Below are 22,897 nucleotides of genomic sequence, written 5' to 3'. Positions count from 1 at the left end.
AAGTACCAAAGAAATAAATATTGTTACTAATCTATAAATGAGAAGTCTAAGATACAGGAAAATCAAGTAACTTGCCCAAGATCACACAGCTGGTAAATAATGAAGTCAGAATTGTAATCCAGTAATTTAACCTCAAAAATTTGTTTCTTTAATCAACATCCATGCTACATCCAGGAAATTGATCTTGTCAACTCTTGTTTTTCAAATATTTCTCCAATCCTGCTTGCTAACATGCTATCTACACCACTAATATCTCCAGTTTAAAGGACTCCAAAAAGTCTCCTATTTTTTTTCTGTTCTAAGAAAACAGGAAATAATTAATGGACACTTCATTAATATTAAAAAAGAGCTATGTTGCTGTTTATGATGTAGAGGGTCATTGTCAGGCAAACCTAACATCAGGTCCTTTGTCCGCCATCTGTACAATGAATGCAAATATTTAATTAATTTAATTTATTTATTTATTTATTTGAGACAGGGTCTCACTTTGTCACCCAGGCTGGAGTGTGTTGGCATGATCACTGCTTACTGTAGCTTCGACCTCCCAGGCTCAATGTGACCCTCCCAGTGCAGCCTCCTGAGTAGCTGGGATCACAGGTACATGCCACCACACCTGGCTAATTTTTGTATTTGTTTGTAGAGTTGGGGATTCACCATGTTACCCAGGCTGGTTTCCAACTCCTGAGCTCAAGCAATCTGCCCACCTCAGCCTCCCAAAGTACTGGAATTATAGGCATGAGCTGCACCTGGAAGAGATTTATTTTAGATATCATTATTGCATTAGTTTTTAGTTGAGGATTGTTTAGAAAAAAAAAATCTCTCTTAGGTATCCTAGGTGAAGGAACATCTGTTTAAAATAATACAAATCTTAACAATATTGTATCATGGTTTCTTTAAAAAAATAACAATTCTACTTCTAGTAATATAGCCAAAGAATTGAACGCATAGGCTCAAATACATGTCTGTGTACCAACATTCATAACAGCACCATTCACACTAGCCAAAACATGGAAACAATCCAAATGTCCATCTAAGGATAAATAGACAATATGTGGCCTATATAGACAATGAAGTATTATTCAGTCTTACGAATAAATAATTTTTTTATTTACACAAATTTATGGGATATGTGGGAAATTGTGTTACAGGTATATAATGCATAGCAATCAAGTCAGTGTATTTAGGATATTCATAACATGAGCCCCAGTATATTTTTGTTAAGTATATTTACCCTACTCTACTATAAATATTGAATTTATTCCTTCTATCTTGCTGTATGTTTATACCCTTTAACCAGTTCTCTTCATCCTCTTCCCTTCCCTGACTCACCTTTCCCAGTTTCTGTAGTTTCATTGTCTATCTCTATGTGATCAAATATTTTTAATCTCACATATAAGTGAGAACATGTGATATTTGCCAATTTGTGCCGGATTCATTTCACTTAAGATAATGACCTCCCAGTTCTATCCTTGTTGCTGCAAATGACAGGATTCCATTCTTTTCTAATGACTGAATAATAGTCCATGCTGTATATATACCAAATATTCTCTACTCCATCATCTATTGATGAAAACTAATTGGTTCCACATATTTGCTATTGTGGATAGTGCTGCAATAAACATGCAAGTGCAGGTTTCCCTTGGACATATTCATTCTTTTTTGTTCAGACCGATACCCAAGTAATGAGATTACTGGATCAAATGGTAATACTATTTTCAGTTTTTTGGAAAATCTCTATACTGTTTTAATAGTTTGCACCCCCACCAACAATATGTAAGTGTTCCCTTTTTTCCACATCTTCATCAACATCTGTTGTCTTTTTAATAATAATCATTTTGACAGGTATAAGATGGTAGCTTATTGTGCTTTTAACTTAATCAGTAATGATTAGTGATATTGACTGATCATTTTTTATACACCTGTGGCCATTTGTGTTTTCTTCTGAAAAATATCTATTCATGTCCTTTGCCCGCTGTTGTATGGGATTATTTGTAATTAGTTGGTCTTTTCCTGTTCAGTTGTTTGAGTTCCTTTTATATTCTTGACATTAGGCCCCTGTTGGGTGGATAGTTTGCAAATATTTTCTCTCATTCAACAGGTTTTCTCCTCACTGTGTTGTTTCCTCTGCTGTGCAGAAGCTGTTTAGTTTAATATAGCCCCACTTGTCTGTTTTTGTTTTTGTTGCTTGTGCTTTTGAGGTCTTCATAAATGTTTTGCCTAGACAAATGTCCAAAATACTTTTTCCTAGATTTTCTTTTAGTATTTTTTGTATTTTCTTGTCTTATATTTAAATCTTTAATTTGTTGTAAGTTAATTGTTGCATGTGTGGAAGATAGAATTCCAGTTTTATTTGTCTGCATTTGGCTCTCCAATTTTTCCAGCACCATTTATTGAAGAGGGTTCTCTTTCCTCAATGTAAGCTCTTGTCATCTTTGTCGAAGATTAGTTAGTTATAAATACATGACATTTTCTGCTTTTTAAATTGTTTCATTGTTCCATGTGTGTATTTTTACCAATACCATGTCGTTTACTATAGCCTTGTAATGTATTTTGAAGTCAGGTAGTGTGATGTGATGCCTTCAGCTTTGTCCTTTCAGCTCAGGATTGCTTGCACTATTTGCACTTTTCTTTTTCGGTTACATATAAATTTTTAAATTGTTTTTGCTAATTTTGTGAAGAATGATGTTGATATTTTGATGGGGATTGCATTGAATCTAGAAGTAAGTGAAATTCTAACACATGCTGCAACATGGATGAAACCTGAAAAAAATATGGTAAGTAAAATAAGCCAGACAAAAAAGAACAAACATTGTATGATTTTAATTATATGAAATTCCTAGAGTAGTCAAATTCATAGAGACAGAAAATAGAATTGTGGTTGCTAGGGGCTGGAAGGAGAAAGGTATGGGGAGTTCTTTTTTAATGGTACAGAGTTCCACTATGGGCTGGGCTCAGTGGCTCACACCTGTAATCCCAGCACTTTGGGAGGCCGAGGCGGGCGGATCACCTGAGGTCAGGAGTTCGAGACCAGCCTGGCCAACATTTTTTAGTAGAGATGAAACCCTGTCTCTCCTAAAAAAGTGCCAAAAATTAGCTGGGCATGGCGGTGTGCACCTGTAATCCCAGCTACTTGGGAGGCTGAGGCCGGAGAATCTCTTGAACCCAGGGGGCAGATGTTGCAGTGAGCCGCGATCATGCCACTGCACTCCAGCCTGGAGGACAGAGTGAGACTCTGTCTCAAAAGAAAAACAAAACAAAACAAAACATAACAAAACAAAACAAAAACAGAGATCCACTACGGGAGGTGAAAAGTGCTAGAGAAGGATGATGGTGATGCTTGTACAACAGCGTGAATATACTTTATGATACTGACCTGTACAACCAAAATGGTTTAAAATAATAAACTTTATGTTATATATATTTTATCACAATAAAAAACTACAATTCATATGGATACACAAGAAGAATCAAGTAACATTTTCAAGGAGATTGGGAACCAGGGTACCATCAAAAATATCAACAAAATAACTATATTGACTTTTTATGCATTCTTTCCTCCATTAATATAGTCTAAATCTCATAATATCTTCATTTCAATATTCAAGTGCTCACCTATATGCCAAGTCTTCATGAAGTTAGGGTCATTAAGCACAAAGAAGATATTGCCATTTTTGAGGCAGTTTCTCTAAGAAGAAAAATGAGGAGAAAGTGAAAAATACTGGAGATCTCTTCTACACCTGGCAACCAGGAAAAAAAAAAACAAAAAAACCTGAATTGGAGAGTTTATAATTCAGTTAACACTGTAAAACTGTCTTTGTCCTAAGTGCCACAGGACTGGAATATACTAACAATCACATTTTATGACTGTAGTTAAATTGGAATTTTCTTGACTACTGTCAAGAAATGTTAATAGAATTAAGGATCAGGACTACACTTATATAAATGACCAAAAGAAAAAAAAATAAACTTTACTTAAATATTTCTTGGAAATAAGTAGAAATGAGCCCATATCTCAGTATTATAATAAAGACAAATATGTAGATGAGGTAAGACCTATCTAAAGATATTCTAAGTGACATAATGATATAAAACACTTAAGCAGGTTATTTCCAAATAGATATAATTATAACAACTTTGTGCTCTACAATTTTTTGAAGAACTCATAAATATCTGCTGAAGGCCTATGAGGAGCTCACAACAATTAAATAAAATGTCATGAGGTTAGTGAAAACTCCACATAGTGTGAGAATTAAAAGAAAAGAATATATATATATATATATATATATATATATATATATATATATATATATGTAAGTATGAAAGAATATATACAAAAGGCAAATGAGATGTGTATGTGTGTGAGGGTGGGTTGATGGTGTTCGAAAGGGGTACTGTAATATCTCCTCTACTTGTTTTTCAGGCAAAAAAAAAACACCCTTTCTTTTTTATTTTAAATGTATATGCATAATTACTAAGAAGAAAAAAATGTGCCACTTTACTTTCTTTCAGAATAATAATATTTCTTGGTAAAAACTGAAATAAACAATAAAAATGAATTTATTGTTGGCAGAGCCAAAAAATACATGTGTATGTATGTGTGTGTGTATGTGTATATATATATATGTGTATATATATGTATATATGTATATATATATATATGTAGTTAATATCCTTTTGTTTGTTTGAGCAGTAAGCCAATTAAATAACTACAACAAAATATTTTATTAAGGTTGTATCTTCTCTTTACTAATGTTTTTAATGGACCCTTCAAAAATCTATGAGTCCGTAAAAGTATGGTAGATAGTAGGTTTAAAAGGGAAAAAATAAAGGTTTCAATATACATTCACTGAAGTGAAGAAGATGAAGAAAAAAAAATCCTTTATATATCATGTATTTTTCAATGTTTTTAAATCTATATGAGCAAAATTTTGACATAGTAAGTAACTCTTTTGTGATGGGCCAGTTGAATATATTAATACAATGAAGTGTGTAACAAAGAGATGGAGACCTGACAGCCAGAGTCCAAAGTCTGGCTTTCAATTAAGGATGTCTTTAGCTAAAAGACTTTGGGCTAGTTGACTAAAAATTTCATTTTTCACATCTGTAAAATTTGTAGGCTGAATGAGATGGTGAGATCAATAATTTCTAAGGCCATCAGTAGCTGTACAACTCCATAAGTCTGTAAGACTGATGAAAGCATTCTCCTTATGGCTTAAAAGAATTTATAATTCAAGGTTGACATACACAGCTATCTTTCTAAGCATCTTCTCTAATGAGATCCCTTGATACTTCAAATCTAACTTCACCCCAGGAATCTGGGGATGTCGCTATGAGTTTCAATATATTCTAATGCCACCAAAACCTATTTCTGTCCTACTGCCACTATGTTAGTCATATTTTGGTAAGAAAAATTAAATTAGAGTTACTCAGGAATTGCATTGCTTGTTTGCAATTGATACGTCTACATAATTCTATGAATTCCATATTATAAGTGAAAATCTGGTTCTAAGATCTTAACAATACTTCTTCCCAAATCAAGAGAAGTCTAAATTTTTACTTTAAAAATATGTTCATCTTTGCTCTGCATTTATTCAATGGTGTTCCAGTCTAGGCCTACTTACTAGCTTGTACTGACTTCAGATATTTTTATAACGTTCCATTCTCTTTATGGTTTATTTATTCCCCCCTTTATTGAATTACTACAGTCTAGTGCATATAAAAATATTTGAAAGAACAGCTGTGAATTAAAAAGACAGCTCTGAACTATACAGATTTAATAAATCTAAAATTTTATTTAAAATTTATAAATTCTTTGTTTCTTTCTGTCTGTTTTTGCGTCTTGGTAGAATTTTGAAGTGGTGCCACTTGATTCCTTTCTCCTCTTCCTTTGTGTAATTGCTTTACTAGTGATCTGTATAATTTCAGGTGTCTTCATGATGGTGAACATCTACCTTTCACTTCCAAGTTTAAGATACCTTTGAGTGTTGCTTGTAGGTCCCGTCTAGTGGTGATGAATTCCCTCAGCATGGAAATGCAGCCTACCAAAATCTGTGAGATACAGCAAAGCAGTGCTAAGAGAGAACTTTATAGCTTCAATATCTGCATTAAAAAAGTAGAAAGATTACAAATTAACAATCTAATAATACACTTGAAGGGACTAGAAAAGCAAAAACAAACCAAAACTGCAGAAGAAAAGAAATAACAAAGTCAGAGCCGATCTAAATGAAAAAAGACCAAAAAAAAATTACAAAAGATAAAACAAAACTAGATTATTTGAGTAGACAAACAAAACTGATAAACTAACCAATAAGAGACAGGAGACAATAAAAGTAGAATCAAAAGTGAAAAAGGAGATATGAAATATAAAAGATCATTAGAGAATATTATGAATAACTATATACTCACAAACTAAAAAGGCTAAAGGAAATAGATAAATTCCTGGAAACATGCATCTTCCTAAGATTGAACCAAGAAAAAATTTAAAAACCTGAGCAGGCCAATAAACAGCAGCAAGATTGAGTCAGTAATAAAAAAAAAAATCTTTCAACAAAGAAAATCCCAGTGCCAGATGGATTTACAGCCAAATTCTACCAAAGGTATGAAGAACTAATAGCAATCCTTCTGAAACTGTTCAAAAAATTGAGGAAGAGGGAATTTTTTCTAACTCATTCTAGGAGGCCATTATCACCTTGATACCAAAACCAGACAAGGACACAATCACAACAACAAAACTCCAGAACAATATCCCTTATAATCATAGACACAAAATTTTCAGCAAAATACTAGCAAACCAAATACAACAGCATATCAAAAAGATAATACACCACAATAAATTCGGTTTTACACCAGGGATGCAAAGATGATTAAACATATGCTGACCAGTAAATATGATACAGTATATAAACAGAATGAAGGACAAAAACCCTATGATCATCTCAATAGATGCAAATAAAGCACTTGATAAAATTCAACATATTTTCATGATAAAACCCTCATTTAACTAGGCATTGAAGGAACATGCCTCAAAATAATAAATGTCATATATGACAAACCCATAGCCAATATCATACTGAATTAGGAAAAGTTGAAAGCACTTCCCCTAAGAACTGGAGCAAGACAAGAATGCCCGCTTGCACCACACCTATTCAACATAGTACTAGAAGTCCTAGCCAGAGCAACAAGGCAAGAGAAAGAAATAAAAGGTATACAAACTCGAAAAGAGCAAGTCAAGTTATCTTTGCTTATTTAAGATATAATCTTACAGGTGGAAAAACCTAAAAATTCTAGAAAAAGCTCTTAAATTTGATAAATGAATTCAGTAAACTTGAAGGATACAAAAAAGCATACAAAAATCAGTAGTGTTTCTATGGACCAGCAACAATTTAGCTGAGAACCAAATCAAGAAGGTAATCTCATTTACAATAGCTACAAAAATAAATATAAATACCTAAGAATATATTTAACCAAGGAAGTAAAAGATCTTTGGTGAAACACTGATGAAAGAAATTGTAGATGACACAAATAAAAAATATCCCAAGCTCATGGACTGGAAACACAAATATCATTAAAATGACCATACTTTCATTGAATCTGCGGATTCATTGAAATCTATATCAAAATACCAATGTCATTTTTCACAGAATTAGATAAAGCAAACCTAAAATGTATATGAAACCAAAAAGACCCTGAATGGCCAAAGTGATCCAAAGCAAAAGGAAAAAACCTGGAGGTATCACATCGCCTGACTTCAAATTTTATTACAAGGCTTAGAACAACGTGGTACTGGTATAAAAAACAGGCACGTAAATCAATGGAACAGAATAGAGAACCCGGAAATAAAGTCACATACTTATAGCCAACTGGTATTTGACAAAGTAAACAAGAATACACATTGGGGAAAGGACACCCTTTTCAATAAACAGTGGTGGGAAGATTGAATGGCCACATGAAGAAAAATGAAACTGTCACAGGATCCTTGGGGTGTTGTTTCGCCAGCTGGGAACCTCTGTGGCTGGTGACGCTTTTGCCTGAGTTTTGCTCGGGCCTGCTGGGCTCGTTCTGCCTGTTTTGGCCTGGCAGGCTGCGCTTGGCTCGCGCTACTGGCCTGGATGTCACACCTGACATGGGTGAGCCAGGCGTGGAGCAGTGAGGGATGTATGAGGGAGCGAGGTGGGGTCTGGCCACTGCGCACAGCCAGGCATGCCGGCTGGGGGTCGGGGGGTGGGGCAGCTCCAGGTGCCCGCACGGGTGCCGGCTCCCTGTGAGGCTGCGGCTAGACCAGGCTTACTGCAAGCAGCTTCCATGGCTGGCACCAGGGAACGCAGTAGCGCCCAGAAGATTGGAGATGCCAGGAACCGCAGAGCCCCAAAGAGGGTGTCACAGCCCATGCTCGTCAGTGCCCAAAATCCAGAGAGGGCTGAGGCGGCAGGGGCCTGATGTGTCAGCACTGCCCCAAGAGTGGGCACAGCCGACTGGGTTTGTGACAGCACCTGGGCTTGGCCTCAACTTTGCTCTGAGATCGGAGAGGGCGCCGGGAGAGGCCAGGCAGTGAGAGCAGGCACTTCTGAGCCTGCTGGGGCAAGGGGCTGCTTCCCGGGCCCGGAGAGTGCAGAGATGCTTGGGTCCGTAGCCATGGCTTGGGCGGCTGTAGCTGCACCCCAGGAGGCGGGGACCCTGCCTGTCCCTGGCCCCCAAGAGCACAGAAATGCCCGGGTCCGCACACACAGCTGGGTGGCTGCAGCTTCACCTGGGAAGCAGGAGGCTCCTGCCCAGCTAACTCGGAAGGGGGCGGGACTTCCACCTGTTCCTTGCTTCCCTTGGCTCTGTGGAGTGCGCAGCCCCCTCCCCGCCTCCCCCGCTGCAGCCCGCGTCTTCGCAGTGGCAGCTCCAGACGGGCCTCTCCTGCAATCAAAACGGGGCCCTCAAACAACAAAAACAAACAAACACGGCTCCTATCCCCTATCTCTCACCATATACAAAAATAAATTAAAAATATATCAAAGACATAAACATAAGACTTGAAGCTATAAAAATACTAGAAGGAAACCTAGGAAAAACTCATTTGGATATTGGTCTAGGCAAATAATTTATGACTAAGACCTCAAAAGTACACGCAACAAAAATAGACAAACTGAACTTAAACTAAAAAGCTTCTGCACAGCAAAAGAAACAATCAACAGAGAGAGCTGACAACCTGTTGAACGGGAGAAAATATTTGCAGACTATGCATTTGGCAGGGGACTAATATCCAGGATGTAGAAAGAACTCAAATAACCCACCAACAACAACCCCCCACCCCAAAACAAGTAATCCAATTAAAAAGTGGGCAAAATACATTAATAGACACTTCTCAAAAGAAGACATACAAATGACCAATAGGTATATGAAAAAATGCTCAACATCACTAAGCATCTGAAAAATGCAAATTAAAAGCACAATGAGATATAATATGCCTGTCAAAATGGCTATTAGAAAGACAAAAAATACCAGATTTTAGTGAGAATTTAGAGAAAAGGGAACTCTCATATACTGTTGGTGGGAATGTAAATTAGTACAAGCTTTATGGACAACAGTATGGAGATTTCTTGAAGAACTAAAAGTATAACTACAATTTCATACAGCAGTCACACTACTGGGTATCTCCCCAAAAGAAAAAAGATCAATGAATCAAAAAGATATCTGCACTGATAGGCTCATCGCAGCACTATTTATAGTAGCAAAGACATTGAATCAACTTAAGTGTCATCAATAGATGATTGAATAAAGAAAATTTGGCATATATACACAATGGAGTACTATTCAGCCAAAAAAATATGAAATTATGACATTTGCAGCAACATGGACAAAATTGGAGGACATTATCTGAAATGAAATATGTCAGACACAGAAAGACAAATATTGTGTATTCTCAGTCATAAGTGGACATACAAATGTAGAAACATGGACATAGAGAGTATAATGATAGATAATAGTGACTCAGAAGGGTGACAGGATGAGATAGAGTGGGTGAAGAGAAATTACTGAATGGGTATAATGTAAAGTATTTGGGTGATAGATACCCTAAAAGCCTTGAATTGACCTCTTTGTGATGGATGCATGTAACAAAACTGCACTTGTATCCCGTAAATTTACACAAATAAAAATTTAGAATATTTGTTTGGCTCTTCCAATCTAGACCCATATCACTGATCTTTGGTTTCATCTACCAATTTATGGGGTTACAACCCCATAATTACATTTGAAATTACATTTGAAAAAGAAATGTAAGTTACATTTGGAAAAGAAAGCTTTCACCTTTATATAGTAGGGTAAAAATCACTCTTTTAATAGAAAATATATAAAATAAAACCTTTTAAACAAATGACAAAGTTTTTACAGTCAACATTACTATATCTAGGAATAAAGTTGAAAAATATTCCATATGGAAATCCAGTCGGTCAAAAATTTTGGAAGTACAAATAATAAGTAAAATATTTTAGTAAGTGCTAGAAAACATATTAAAATGGCTTATCTTTTCTCTAATTCTGACTGCAGGCAGAAATTACCTTTAAAAGGTTTATCAAATACAAGTGATGTTTAAAATTAGAAAATTAAAAATAAATTCCAATTTCATGCCAAAGTTTTTAATATGCATATTTTGTGTAGTATACTAGAATATCTATATATGAATGTACTCTAAAAATGAATCATATGCCTAAGAGAGTAAGCAAAAGCAGACAGAATGTCTGCTTTCAAGAACCTAGTGGAAGATACAAACATCTTAAAAGTCACAGAAGTAAATCTATTGCAATGATAAATGCAACAAAAGAGAGCTATCAGGATATAAGGTCACTTAAAGAGATTTGATTTAATAAGCTAGGCAAGAATGACTTCTTTGAAAAGGGATAGCTGATCTGGAATGAGTAGAGACACCTAGATAAAAAGAAAGATGGCATGCATAGAAAAGTATTTAGAATAGAAAGCATATGCAAAGAGCCTGTGGCTGAAAGATACAATATGACTATGAGTGACTGATAGATTCAAATGGCTTGACATGTGAGAATAAGGAGTAATATGAAAGGAAGAATGGGTAGAAAGCATTCCAGGTAGAAACAACTGTCTGGATATATGAACATGCTCTGTAACAAAATAAATTATGGAAGAAATGGGACTGAAACTTGTCATTTGCGATGGAGAAGAGAGAAACACAACAGTGAGATGAGAAGGCTAGTGGAAGGTAAGGCTAGAGAGATTGTGGTCAGATCATACAGGACATTGTAAACTATATTAAATTTATGCCTAGTGTTCTAATATTGGAACGCTAAGCATGTGGGAGTTATTTATATCCTACTGCTCAATGTCATAGCCAAGATCTGATTGCAAAAATTCAAAAAATTGCAACCTGAGGCATAAATGGGTTAAAGGGGTTGCCTTTCTCCTTATAAGAACAAGAACTTCTGAAGGATTTTAAACAAGGCATGAATGTGGTGGGGGAGGGATGTTAAGAGTTTCCTTCATTTACATTCTGTAATGTGATTCTTACTTCCCTTCACTGTAATTCTTACTTCCTTACAAGGCAGAGTGAAACCCCAAGGTACAACACACTTCTGGTATGCTCTCAATTAATCATGAACTCCATTACACCTAATCAATTCAAGATGATTCAGAAGGTACTTGAGTGCCTTGATATGCCTCTTGGTCTTGGTTGTGCATATTGAAAATCAATAGAGTACGATAGATACACGGGTTGCAAAATATTGGTCTGAATCAGTCATGACATTATTATATATCTTAAAAGTTACTTTTCTCAGGAAATTGCTTCTAATAGCTTGCTGATGTTTTTTTACTAATTCAAATGAGGAACAGAAATATTTGACATTTCAGCCTTCTAGGTAAACTTTCGTTTATGTTAACTGACCAGTAAGAAAATTGGTCTGGTATATTTTATTTAAGGTTTCAAGCTCTCCCTTGACTAAGGTTTCCTTGAAACTGAAGTATGAGTCATATTCATGTTTGCATCATAGCAATTAATTCAATGTCTGGCATTATATAAGGTCTTCAATTTTTGTCTATTGAATGAATAGAAGTGAAGTTGATGCAATTTGGGTTTTTAAATATGTTCTGCTGCAGAGGTTCACCAATTCTTAAAATGTCAAATCAATTCAATACATGTTTAATGAGCTACTACTCTGTACAAGGTAGTGCTAGACAAGTATTTATAACTGCCACACAAATGTTTTAAGATGCTGCTTCTCTCAGACACAGTTTTACTTTATCATGTGCTCCATTGTTCCTCATGGTTCTGTTTAATACTTATGAGTAGCTATATATGATGTTTAATGAACAAAACCTTCATTTGAGTAGCTATATATGCTGTTTAATGAACAAACCTTTCTCTTCAATGGAAAAAAAAGGTATATAGCTTTGTTTCTGTTTCAAAGATATTTTTATTATATAAAAATATAATGGGATATGGGAAAAATTTGTCCCTTGAGCAATTACCAATTAGCAAGTACTAAATAATGATCTAAATAATTTATATAATATATTTCTCTTTTTAATAACTTTAAGAAGCCTTTGAGAAAGATCACAAGTTAGACAACATTGTTCAGGGAAGGTAAATAACTTGCTCCTTGTCATGGTGCATAAAATATACAGTCAATAATTGAACAGAAGAATCTCTGACTTACACTCTATGCTCTGATCCAATTCTAATAGTGGAGCTATTCTAGAGAAAGTAAGTGCAGATAATAACTAACTCTGCTTCATTTCCTATGGAAACACACCTTACTATGAAAATAATTTGATTTGGAGGTTTCTTTCTATTAGGAAATTGGCACATTGTAAATTATTCAATGTTAACTTTGATAAATTTAAAAATAAAAGGTAGTAGGCTTCTGGCTATTTCTGCCTATCAGGGTATGGCTGTGCCTGCATCATATTCTAATTTTAAAAGGCCCTAAGTAACCACATAGCTATTAAACAGGGTACATTGAGAAACGAGTTTAGAATTAAGACAGTACTTTAAGGGACAGATGTGCTTACTTTCAGTGGGAGCAAGGGGTTGAAACAATAAAAGGTGGGTGGGAGCCAGCTGTGGACAACAAGCGTTTTTACAAGGGCATGTTTCTCTTTTGTCTCTGTGTTTTTAATTCTCTTACCACCTAATTCTCTGCAAACATATTAATAAGTATTTGATATAAATTTTTATTTGATACTCCAACTTGTCCTTCCATTTTTTGAGCAGATTTAATTTTAATATACCCTAATGCAATAAAGCCTATTTATCTGTTAATTATGTGTCTATGTAGTAAAATAATGCTAATGAATAGTAAAATGCCTACATTAAAATTGGTTAGCTTCCTCTCACCACATTCAACAAATTTTTTTCTTGAATTACAGGTGTTACAATTGTAACAATGTTGTTCAAAAAAAGGAAAAAACAAAATAAGACTTTTCATATCTAGTGTTGTATGCTTTATGACATGGGGCTATTATGTTACTAGTCAGGGTGCTGAGTTATGAAAACTATTGAAATGATCTTATTATAGATATTTACTAATATACATTTACTGAGAATGAAGCTTAAATTGATGTCTATAGAGTGTTTTGCCCCCTCATATTAAACTTTTACACACTATTAAAGTTAAAATATTTTATATTCTCTGAACTCACAAATGCTAGCTGGCCATTTTAGTTGGAGGAATGTAATAAATAATGAGACAACGTTGGTAAATTCATTCTCAAATGCAGTGTTTGTTATTATTCCTTTATGAAATTAGAGCTATATGCAGCATTTTACTTTTCCACATGTGTATATTAAATAGAATATTCAAGAAATGACACCATCCTTTTATTTTTCTTGTAGTTTCTTAAAGTTTTAACATTTTTACATTTAGAATTTTTTTTACATTTTGTAATCAGGTTGTATTTCTTAATAATATTATTTTAGTATAGTAGAAAACAGTTACGTGTCTTATTATCAATGTTCACATCACATACACACTATCTTATTTTTGACCTTAACCCAGATACATGTGCAGACTGATGTCCAAGTATCATCAGACTTTTTTCCAAAGGACATTCTGAAAATAAATTACTGAAAGGTCTTGAAGTTTAGTATCTCTACTTTTCCAAAAGAAACACCACTAAAAAATCACAAAAAAATTTTATAAATTCTACTAATTATTACTTTCTAATGATTTCTCCCCACTGTAAGAGAATATATGTATATATATTTTCTTCTGTCCTTATGTATAAAATATACTTTGGAGTAATAAAACTGATATTCATATATGAACTATTATATCCTGTATTTATCTGAATGTTCCTGAGTGTATAAATGTAATTATTTAAAACTAAAATATAAATTCTGTCCTAATAAATAAATACAAAATTTGAAGTTGACTTAATGTATGTGATAAAGATTCACTCATTATTCTAGTCCAACGTTAGTATGAAGTATTTCTAGTACATTATCTTTTTTCCTATCAATTTTCCTAGGAATTAAAGTATAAGCCAATAATTTTGTTAATTTTTAAACAATTCAAATTTTAAATATGAAATTATTTTCATATGTAATAAGTGTATGTCCTTAAAATACTAAGTAATTCATTAGAGACTCCATCTTGTATAATATTTAAGCATTGAAATCTATATTCTTAAAAAATCTCACTGACATATTTTAATAACAAAAACCAGCTTTCTTTACTAGGTACCTTATTCACTTGTAAACAAATTTTGTGTAGGATGTGGGTTATTGATACAAAATGCCTATACGTTGATACCTGTGGAAATTGACAAATAAATAAATGAACAAACAAACAAAAATGCCTGCAGAGCCCTAGGAGTATTTAAGTTTCCCAATCTTTATATTGCTGTATTTCTCTAGGCACATTATATGTGGCATTCTGTCACCCAAACAAATGCAAAACAAATAAGAGAGGTTATGATTTCTGTGCACTAAAATCACCAGAAAATACATTTGTCTTTAAAAATTAACTGAATGTAGATAGATAGATAGATAGATAGATAGATAGATAGATAGATAGATAGATAGATTATATCCTGTTGCATGTAGAAAACATGCTGAAATTATTCTGGGAGGGTTAAAACTCCAAAACAAACAAACAAAAAAAAAATTGAGTGAGTCAGTGTTATAAATCAAGTTAATTTGCAACATTATTTTTGAGTTGAAATATTAAGGGTTTAACATATTTATATCATTATTTTGAGGGCACCAAAGTAACTCTAAATTTTAAATCTTCCATGTGTCTTTAAAATTAACGCATTTGATTGTTTTCATAACAACGATAATATTAATTATCTTATATTTATGTAATACTTTTTATTTTATATAACAAGCTTCTATGCATTGTCTCATCTGATCCCCATATCTTTATTATTATTATTTTGCTGTATGTAGCATTACCACTCTCAGTCTATACATAAAAGATGCTAAGTTACCAGAGTTTTTACAGATAGTAAGTGGTGGAGCAAGAACTGGAGGATGAATCATTTCAACCCTAGTCTAGAACTCTTGCTCCCATGTCACATGCTAACTCGCTTCTCAGAGTAATCAAATAAACTGACTATCATAAAAGTCAGAACTTGGGAGGAAATGTGAACATATGAAAGTGTATTTTCATATATTATCAACTTTTTGAACTCTTATTGAGGCCATTGAGTAAAAATAATTTTCTGTCACTGTAAATGCAGAGGGAATGTAACAAGTATTTGCCCTGAATCCATTATTCAGAAATAAATGAAACAGCATAAAGTCATGCAAGTGCACTGTTGGTGACTTTCCTTTCCCTAAAGTTGGGGTGGTTGAAGTGAATTTCCTTGCTCTTTCTCCAGGTGCTTGTACTGTTCGCATGCTGAGCTGCACAGCTTTCAAAGGGCTTGCCCTGGGATATGGCTGGGCTAGATTTAGAAGGAACTGGTCATTGAATAGCTCTGGTAATTCTTGCATCTCACAGTTATGCGGTTGACAGCTCCTTTCAGTAGGGAAAGCTTGGGTATATTTCAAGGTGATTGTAGTTTTGTCCCTCTGGCAGCAAGCTGCTGCAACCAGCTTAGCCCATTATCCTCCTCTCCCACTGGATTTAAGCCTGGGGAGAAATCTGGGGCTTTTGTCAAGATAGAAGGTAAGAGATGGATAATTATTCCCTGTGTGTGCTCAAAAAGAACAGCACTATATCATAGAGTAGCTTTCAATTACTGAAATGGGATTGTCTGAAGTTCCAGTGGCTTATAAATTACTCTTTGTAAAAACCAATATTTAACATTATTGTATTAGTGATGTGCTTTTAATATCTCTTTCATGTAATATCATGTAATAAACTTTAAGGTTTATTACATGAAACTTTGCAAACAGTGTTTAACACTCAGAGAATAAAATGCATTTCCATTTTTGTGGTTTTATTAGAAGATTTAAAAACAAATGGCTGCTCTGAAAAAATTGATTAAAAACTTCACTGTACAATTGACTACATTATAATTTTTCTCAATTTGAGTTTCTTAAATCTCAGGGGCTAGTACTGTAAAATCAATGCAAAGTAATTACAAAATTTAAAATTCCAGATGTTATGATTACATACATCTTGTCCTTTAATATCCATTCTGTCAAATACCTTTTATAAACACTGCTACTTAACAAAACACATTTGGAAAATAAAATTTTCACTAATTCTGATTAATTAATTAGGTAAATCAGTCTTAGCATAATTAGAGGGCAGTATTTTCAGTTTGTGATCCCCCAGGAGCTCAACATTACTTTCACTCTCCTTTTAAAGGCAGAAATTATAGTCAGAAATGTGCATTTCAATTTGTAGCTGACAGTTTAGGGTTAAGATATGATTCCAGGTAACAGAAGCCAATGAGAGTACACCCAGTTGATGTTTGTGACATCATCTTCCAGTCAGAGTACATAGAACAGCTGAGGTAGCGTTCAGTTTCAGCACAGTGCCATTATGATGGATGTTTACATCTCTTCATTGAGAGCCAATTATCTCGCTTTTGTGTGAGGCCCAAGGATCACTCATGCTTCCAGGCTGCACAGAGCACTGTTGGATCTAGCTGAACGAATTGTTTTCTCTGTCTCTGGTAAGGGCTTCTTCTGTTTTACCTTCTCTTTTAAAATAAAGGTAGATGTGTCTTACAGAGAAAATATTATAAGGGTCAAAAAGGATTACTATCTGGTAAGCTTTTATTCAGGAATGTTTATCATTATTTAAAGGACTATGGAGTTAGCAAAATGAATTAAAAAAAGAGCTTGCTAACGTGTACCTGACAAACTAATTTGCAGCAGAAAATGAAAGGCAGGTAAATCCGGCTTCGCTTTAGAAAAAGGAAAATACTGCTATTATAAGACCACAATTTTGAATGTGTTTTTAAAACTGTATATGTGTATGTATATCATTCTGCATCATTTCTCTATATTTTTCTATTAGTATTAAAGAATAGTGGTAGAAATGGTCAACCAAGTAGTGTTGCTGTAGACTTAAAATGAGTCAAAGTTTCTAATTGTTAAATGGCAGTTCTTTGGGACAGTTTTCCAAAGTTGCATTTATACAGGGAAAACAAAGTTTACCAAGTGAGCAAAGGCTCTGGCTTCTGAAATAAAGTTGTAGGACTTTACATTCATATTTACCATTTAAATATTTGGAAATAATAATAATGAAAAATTTTAAGAATGGATGTAAGGGTTTCTTTGTGGAATTAAGAGATATTAAAATCATTTATTGCATTTTTGTTATGCTTTTTGGTGCATAATAAAATACTGTCTTTACATAGCCAGAAAATATTTAAATCCTAAAAATATATCTTTATATTATTTAATCATTTGTCAGTAGTAACATTTATGCCTGAGGATCTTGTTATATTGTAGCAAAACAAATATATTTAGAGCTGTTGAACTGCTATGGATAGGTGATTGAATGTGACAGAGAACCTGAAAAGTCACTACACTAAAAGCTTTCAATTGACTGAGAATGTTCACATGATAACAAATGAAGAATTCAAAAACATTTGTATCCCCTCAAATGTTGTCTATTATTATGGTATAAAGTAGCATACTGTTGTTATTTTAAAGTTGGATGCAGTTATTTATGAAATAAAGCCACAGAAAAGTGTAATTAATTGTTATTTTGTTTAACGTGCTCTTTTATTTTAATAGCATCTCCATTCCTCCTAGGGTTATAAAACTTTTGAATAATGGCTTGTTCATCAAGTGTTGATGTGCTTATGCTTTTTAGATTTATTTTTACTGTGCCTTTAACATAGAATATTTCTGCCTTTGCAAACTAGTAATTTTGATAATTAAAACTCAGGATTTGGAGATTCTCGAGTTGAGCTTTAAGACAGCAGGGGTTTTTCAGCTATGTCACACTCTGTGTCTTCTGCTAGCCCAGTCCTGTTTGGCAGCTCTAGACATTACTGTTGTTCGAATTGTCTCCTTTAGTCCATTCAGGTCTGAACAAAACTAAGTTTATAGACAGTGTCAGACGTGTATTAATTAAATCTAAACAAGTGAGCTTAATGTCTCAGCCACAACAATACGTAATCAACAAAACCTCAAAAAGCTTCCAATATACATCTAGAGTCAATTTTTTGCTGAGAAAAATTTAAGTTGGTATATTCTGTGAATTTCAAAATTTAAAGTGAAATCTAAAAGTTTTGGATAATATGAGCTTGAAAGCATGAGTCACTGCTTTGAAATGAATTTTTTTTCTTTCCCTAAGTACTCTATAGTGAAGTTGAAAAACCCAGTGGTACTGACTGTGTCATTTTCACAGGTGATTAAACTTAACTAAGGGAAAAGCATTTGTCTCCTAATAATTAATTCTTTAAAAATCTATTTATATCATTCTGTCAACAATGAAGAAAATCTTATTCAGCTAATGAATGATCTAGACATTTAAATTGCATTTTTTTCTGTGTATGATTCCTTCTTTCAGTATTAGCCTTGCTAGTCACAAATGCACTACATTGATGGTGACTGCAGTGTTAAATTGCTTATCTCCTTCTTTTCCTTTGGACAACTTTATACAACGCAAGTACACGAGATATGAGCTACCTAGCTAATGGACTTCATTCATTTCACAAAAAGTTTTTTATTATTATTTTTAATTTAAGAGAGGACATCAATGATATCATAGCAATTTCCTATGCCACAAAGTCCCTAGGAAGGCTTCCCAGTACAGGGTGACATAAATAAATGATGTGTGATGTTACTTGTACTGCCCTATTCTCTGCCTCCTTTTAAATACATATGTTCTTTGTCTGACTTATGTAACCAGTATTAAGAAGAGATGGAAAAAAATAGCCATGAAAAGATACTTATTAACTCTTCTGAAGTTCTCTGCATACTCCATATGCTGGGGGTGATATATTTTTTCTTTTGAAAATGACTCCTCAAATTATGTTTTTACCTATTGCAAAATAATACTCTTTTGTATATTTTAACACTTTCCTAGAATTTAGTTTATTGTAAGCCCCTTTATTAGTTTCATGTAATGATTGAATGCACAATACTGCTTGGTTTTTTAGTTTCTCAGTTCAAGCACTTGAATGATCATGAATTCTATGCTTGTCTTGACAGTGGGAAATTCTGGGCATTCCAGGCCAACTTTTTACTTAAGCCAAAAAATATAGTAACTATGATGTCATTTTGGACAGCTTGGACTTATTGTGTGAATGTCTGGATATTTAGGTGTATATTTTAGGTACATAAATGTAATGTTTTTATGCATTTTAAAGTTTAAAAGATCTTTTTATCAACCTTGTGTATATATACAATTAATTCTTAACAATTGATATGTGATAAAGTAATTGATATTATGCAACTAAGGAAACAGAGACTAATAATTCGTAACTTGTTGCCAAAGATCACCCAGTCAGTAAGTCAGTAAATGGAGGAGCTAGGACTCAGAAACAGGTTTACAAATTTCAGTGCCCCAAATCAATCAATTTCTCTTTCTTTCTTTCTTTCTCTTTCTCTCTCCCTCCCTCCCTTAATACAGCCGGTTATCTAATCAGTCACTTCTCTTGAGTATCTACTTCGTGCCAGGCACTCTTCTAGGTACTTGGCATTTATAACTGAACAATGTAAAAAAATTCTTGTTGTTGCACATATTATTTTTTTTCTACCTGAAAAGCTCTCATCTTTAATTTACTATAAAAGTAGAATGTATTTTAAGGTGTGGCTAATTAAAACCAAAAACTTTATGGGAAATAGGAAACATAAGTTAAAGGATACATTCATTTGCATTTCTTGTGTTTCTGTGTGTCTCTAAGTTCTCAGGTATGTTTTAATCTAAAATAGATTTTTACATTATATTTGGGTTTTGTGAAAAGTCTATCAATTATTTTATAACTCATACTTGATTCTGAATGTGGTCACTGAAATATTATAAGAATAAAATAGCTTGTGGTAGATATCAAAACAGTATCAATCATTTTTGGACAAAGTTATCTTGTATTTATAATGTATGTTCAAGCAAGCTAGCTTTATTTTTATTGTCTATTTTACAATCAATTATTTGCTGGTAATAGTATGCCGAGTTTACAGTTGTTTGACTTTGGACAAGGTTCTTTATAGTATAAGTAAAATAATAAAAAATGAAGAATTTTTTTATTTTAATTAAAAACTTAATATCTCCCAAATGATAGTAGTTTGTGTTTGAACAAGCAAACTAGAGACAATTTACTTTTTAAGGCCAATTTTTTCACTGTCTTGGTAGCTACTAATGCTAGTTCCTAGGACAATGGCACTAAAAAGTGATATTTATTCGCTATTCAACTTATTTACAGATACTCAGTGATTTAAAAGAAATAAAAAGCCTAAAATACAACCTCCTCAGAGAAAACCAATCCATACGTAGAACCTATCAGTTGAAGATAAATTGTTTTTAGATAGTATCATTTAATTAGCCACTGAAGAATCTGTCTAGTGACATACATATAAATTGTACAACAAAAGTTAACTGAACACACTTGATTTGGCTCAAAATATTTTACTGTGGTCCTATTGCATAATAATAAAACAATAGCCCTGAACTTAGTCCCTTTAGTAATGCCCATTTGAAGTATGCAGAATAAGACAGTAAAATTAGAATTCAATAATTGAAAGTACGAATGTGATTTTTTATCTGCTTTCTCTCTCTGCCTCTGAAGCTATGACAAACGAATGTGCCCTTTTCAGGGGTTAATAAATTATGAAGACTTTTCCACTTCTTTCAGAGTTAGAGACAGAGAAGCTTGTTCACATTCGAACTGCATAAAATGAAAAAATAATCTAGAGCTATTAAGCAGTAGATGTTTAATAGCACTAAAGGTACTGGGCCTTGGGTTTAGCTATTTTTAACAACTTATATCCATGAATTAATTTTAATAGTGTTTTTGATGAGAAAATATAAATGGACAACAGTACTTTTTAATGCTAAATTCTGCTAAAAGCAGAGAATTTGTTGTTCAGTGTTTGATACTGGTCTCAGTGGCATGGAACTGAGCATATCATAAAGGTTGTCTAGGTAAATTTTCACAAGTAAGTGGCTCTCTACCTGTGTGCCATGGCACACCATAAAACTCTCAAGGGTATCTCCTAACATTTGGGTCAATGTGGAAAATGCATTTTGCCTAAAACTGAGTATACATATTTGTGCTGCAGTCAGTCAGATAAAATATGGAGCTGAGTGAAACCAATAATATGGGGAAGAAAATGACACAATTTGCTGTGATGAGAGGCAAGGTGTAAAGTTAAGTTCCAGCAACTTTTCTCCATTTGAAGTACAGAAGAGGCTATGATCATGCTAGAAAACACTTTTTCTCAGCAGAGCAAGAAAAGAGCAGATGCTTTTAAAGACACTTTCTTTTTTGTTTGCGTGCACTTGTTGCATGTAAGAATATGCAATAAGTGCGTGCAAATTGTATTCAGGTAGTCTGGGACCAGGTGTGTCTAATTAAAACCAAAAACTTTATGGGAAATAGGAAACATAAGTTAAAGGATACATTCATTTGCATTTCTTGTGCTTCTGTGTGTCTCTAAGTTCTCAGGTATGTTTTAATCTAAAATAGATTTTTATGTTACATTTGGGTTTTAAATGTTGACTTTTAATATTTTTAAAAGTCTGGGACCAGACTACCGGAATACAATTTGTTGTTCCACCCTTTTCAGTCTTCATGCCTTCATAATAAAAAAAAAAAAAAAAAACGGGAAATAAAAGTACCTACCTCGTAAGTTTGTTGTGAAAATTTCATGAACTAATCTTATAAGCATGGAGAACAGTGCCTTGCATATAGTAAATGTTCAATTACTATTGCCTCTCTTTAGTATTTTCATTGTTTTCATTGTTACTGACTTGCTTAGTATTATGTGTCTGTGTCTTTTAATTCATTCAGGAGTTTCATTAAAAATTGCTATTCACTAACATGAAAACTCTGGTATAGTACAAACACAATTTTGGGAACCAATCATACTAATTACTTTTGAAACTAGATGCTGATTGTAGATTTTGTTGGTAAACACGGGTTAATCATTTACTGCATATAAAACTTCTGATGTTTTAATTTTAACTATTGTAAGATAAAAAATGAATTAAATAACTTTTAGGAACTTTTCTCAAATCTAAAATGATATAATATGGGATATCATATACATACAAATCTAAGTACGTAATAAAATAGAAAGTCTTATAGCTTTACCTTTTATCTTTTACTCTGTTTTACTTTGCTACTTTTTATTCTATGATTTTTCATAAGTCAATGAGAGTTTCAAACCTGGAGTTATGAAAGTTTTATTTGTCTGATATATGTAGAGACCAACAGTCTCTGCTTTTCAACAGTCCATTGTCTCATATTGGTGATGAAGTGGTGATAGAATTGAGTTAAAGTTTTTCAGTTCTTCTTTACTCATGAC

At 33.5% G+C, this 22,897-nt stretch overlaps 1 protein-coding gene and 1 long non-coding RNA gene across 13 annotated transcripts in view, besides 1 other annotated feature; one reads left to right on the top strand and one right to left on the bottom strand.

Moving 5' to 3' along the window:
* Positions 1-22,897, top strand: part of MGAT4C (MGAT4 family member C) — an 883,334-nt gene that overhangs the window by 565,677 nt on the left and 294,760 nt on the right. For 7 of the 11 annotated variants that reach the window (NR_147093.3, NM_001351288.2, NM_001351282.2 and 4 more), the window contains exon 1: positions 16,933-17,085. The exons of 3 other annotated variants lie outside the window; for them this stretch is intronic. The gene's annotated coding sequence lies outside the window, so the exon portion shown is untranslated. Of the gene's footprint in view, positions 1-16,024; positions 16,128-16,932; positions 17,086-22,897 lie in introns of those variants that run through there. One more of the 11 variants, NM_001351287.2, reaches the window with a different exon arrangement.
* Positions 1,060-11,311, bottom strand: LOC105369877 (uncharacterized). Of its 2 annotated transcripts, XR_945157.3 has the most exons (4): positions 8,490-8,623; positions 5,976-6,099; positions 3,613-3,685; positions 1,060-2,760 (listed from the first exon to the last, which is right to left on the bottom strand). It is a non-coding gene; the product is annotated as an uncharacterized LOC105369877 (long non-coding RNA). The 2 variants fall into 2 exon arrangements; XR_001749240.2 differs by having other exon boundaries at positions 5,976-11,311.
* Positions 8,346-9,029: an enhancer, noted in NCBI's record as "H3K4me1 hESC enhancer chr12:86658073-86658756 (GRCh37/hg19 assembly coordinates)". NCBI's record gives its function as "activates a minimal SCP1, AML or CMV promoter by ChIP-STARR-seq in naive H9 embryonic stem cells {active_cell/tissue: H9 hESC(naive)}" and the evidence as "EXISTENCE:reporter gene assay evidence [ECO:0000049][PMID:30033119]".

The sequence above is a fragment of the Homo sapiens genome, chromosome 12 (genome assembly GCF_000001405.40).
Source record: "Homo sapiens chromosome 12, GRCh38.p14 Primary Assembly".
Taxonomy (NCBI): Eukaryota; Metazoa; Chordata; class Mammalia; order Primates; family Hominidae; genus Homo; species Homo sapiens.
This window is presented reverse-complemented; position numbering and strand designations above follow the sequence as displayed.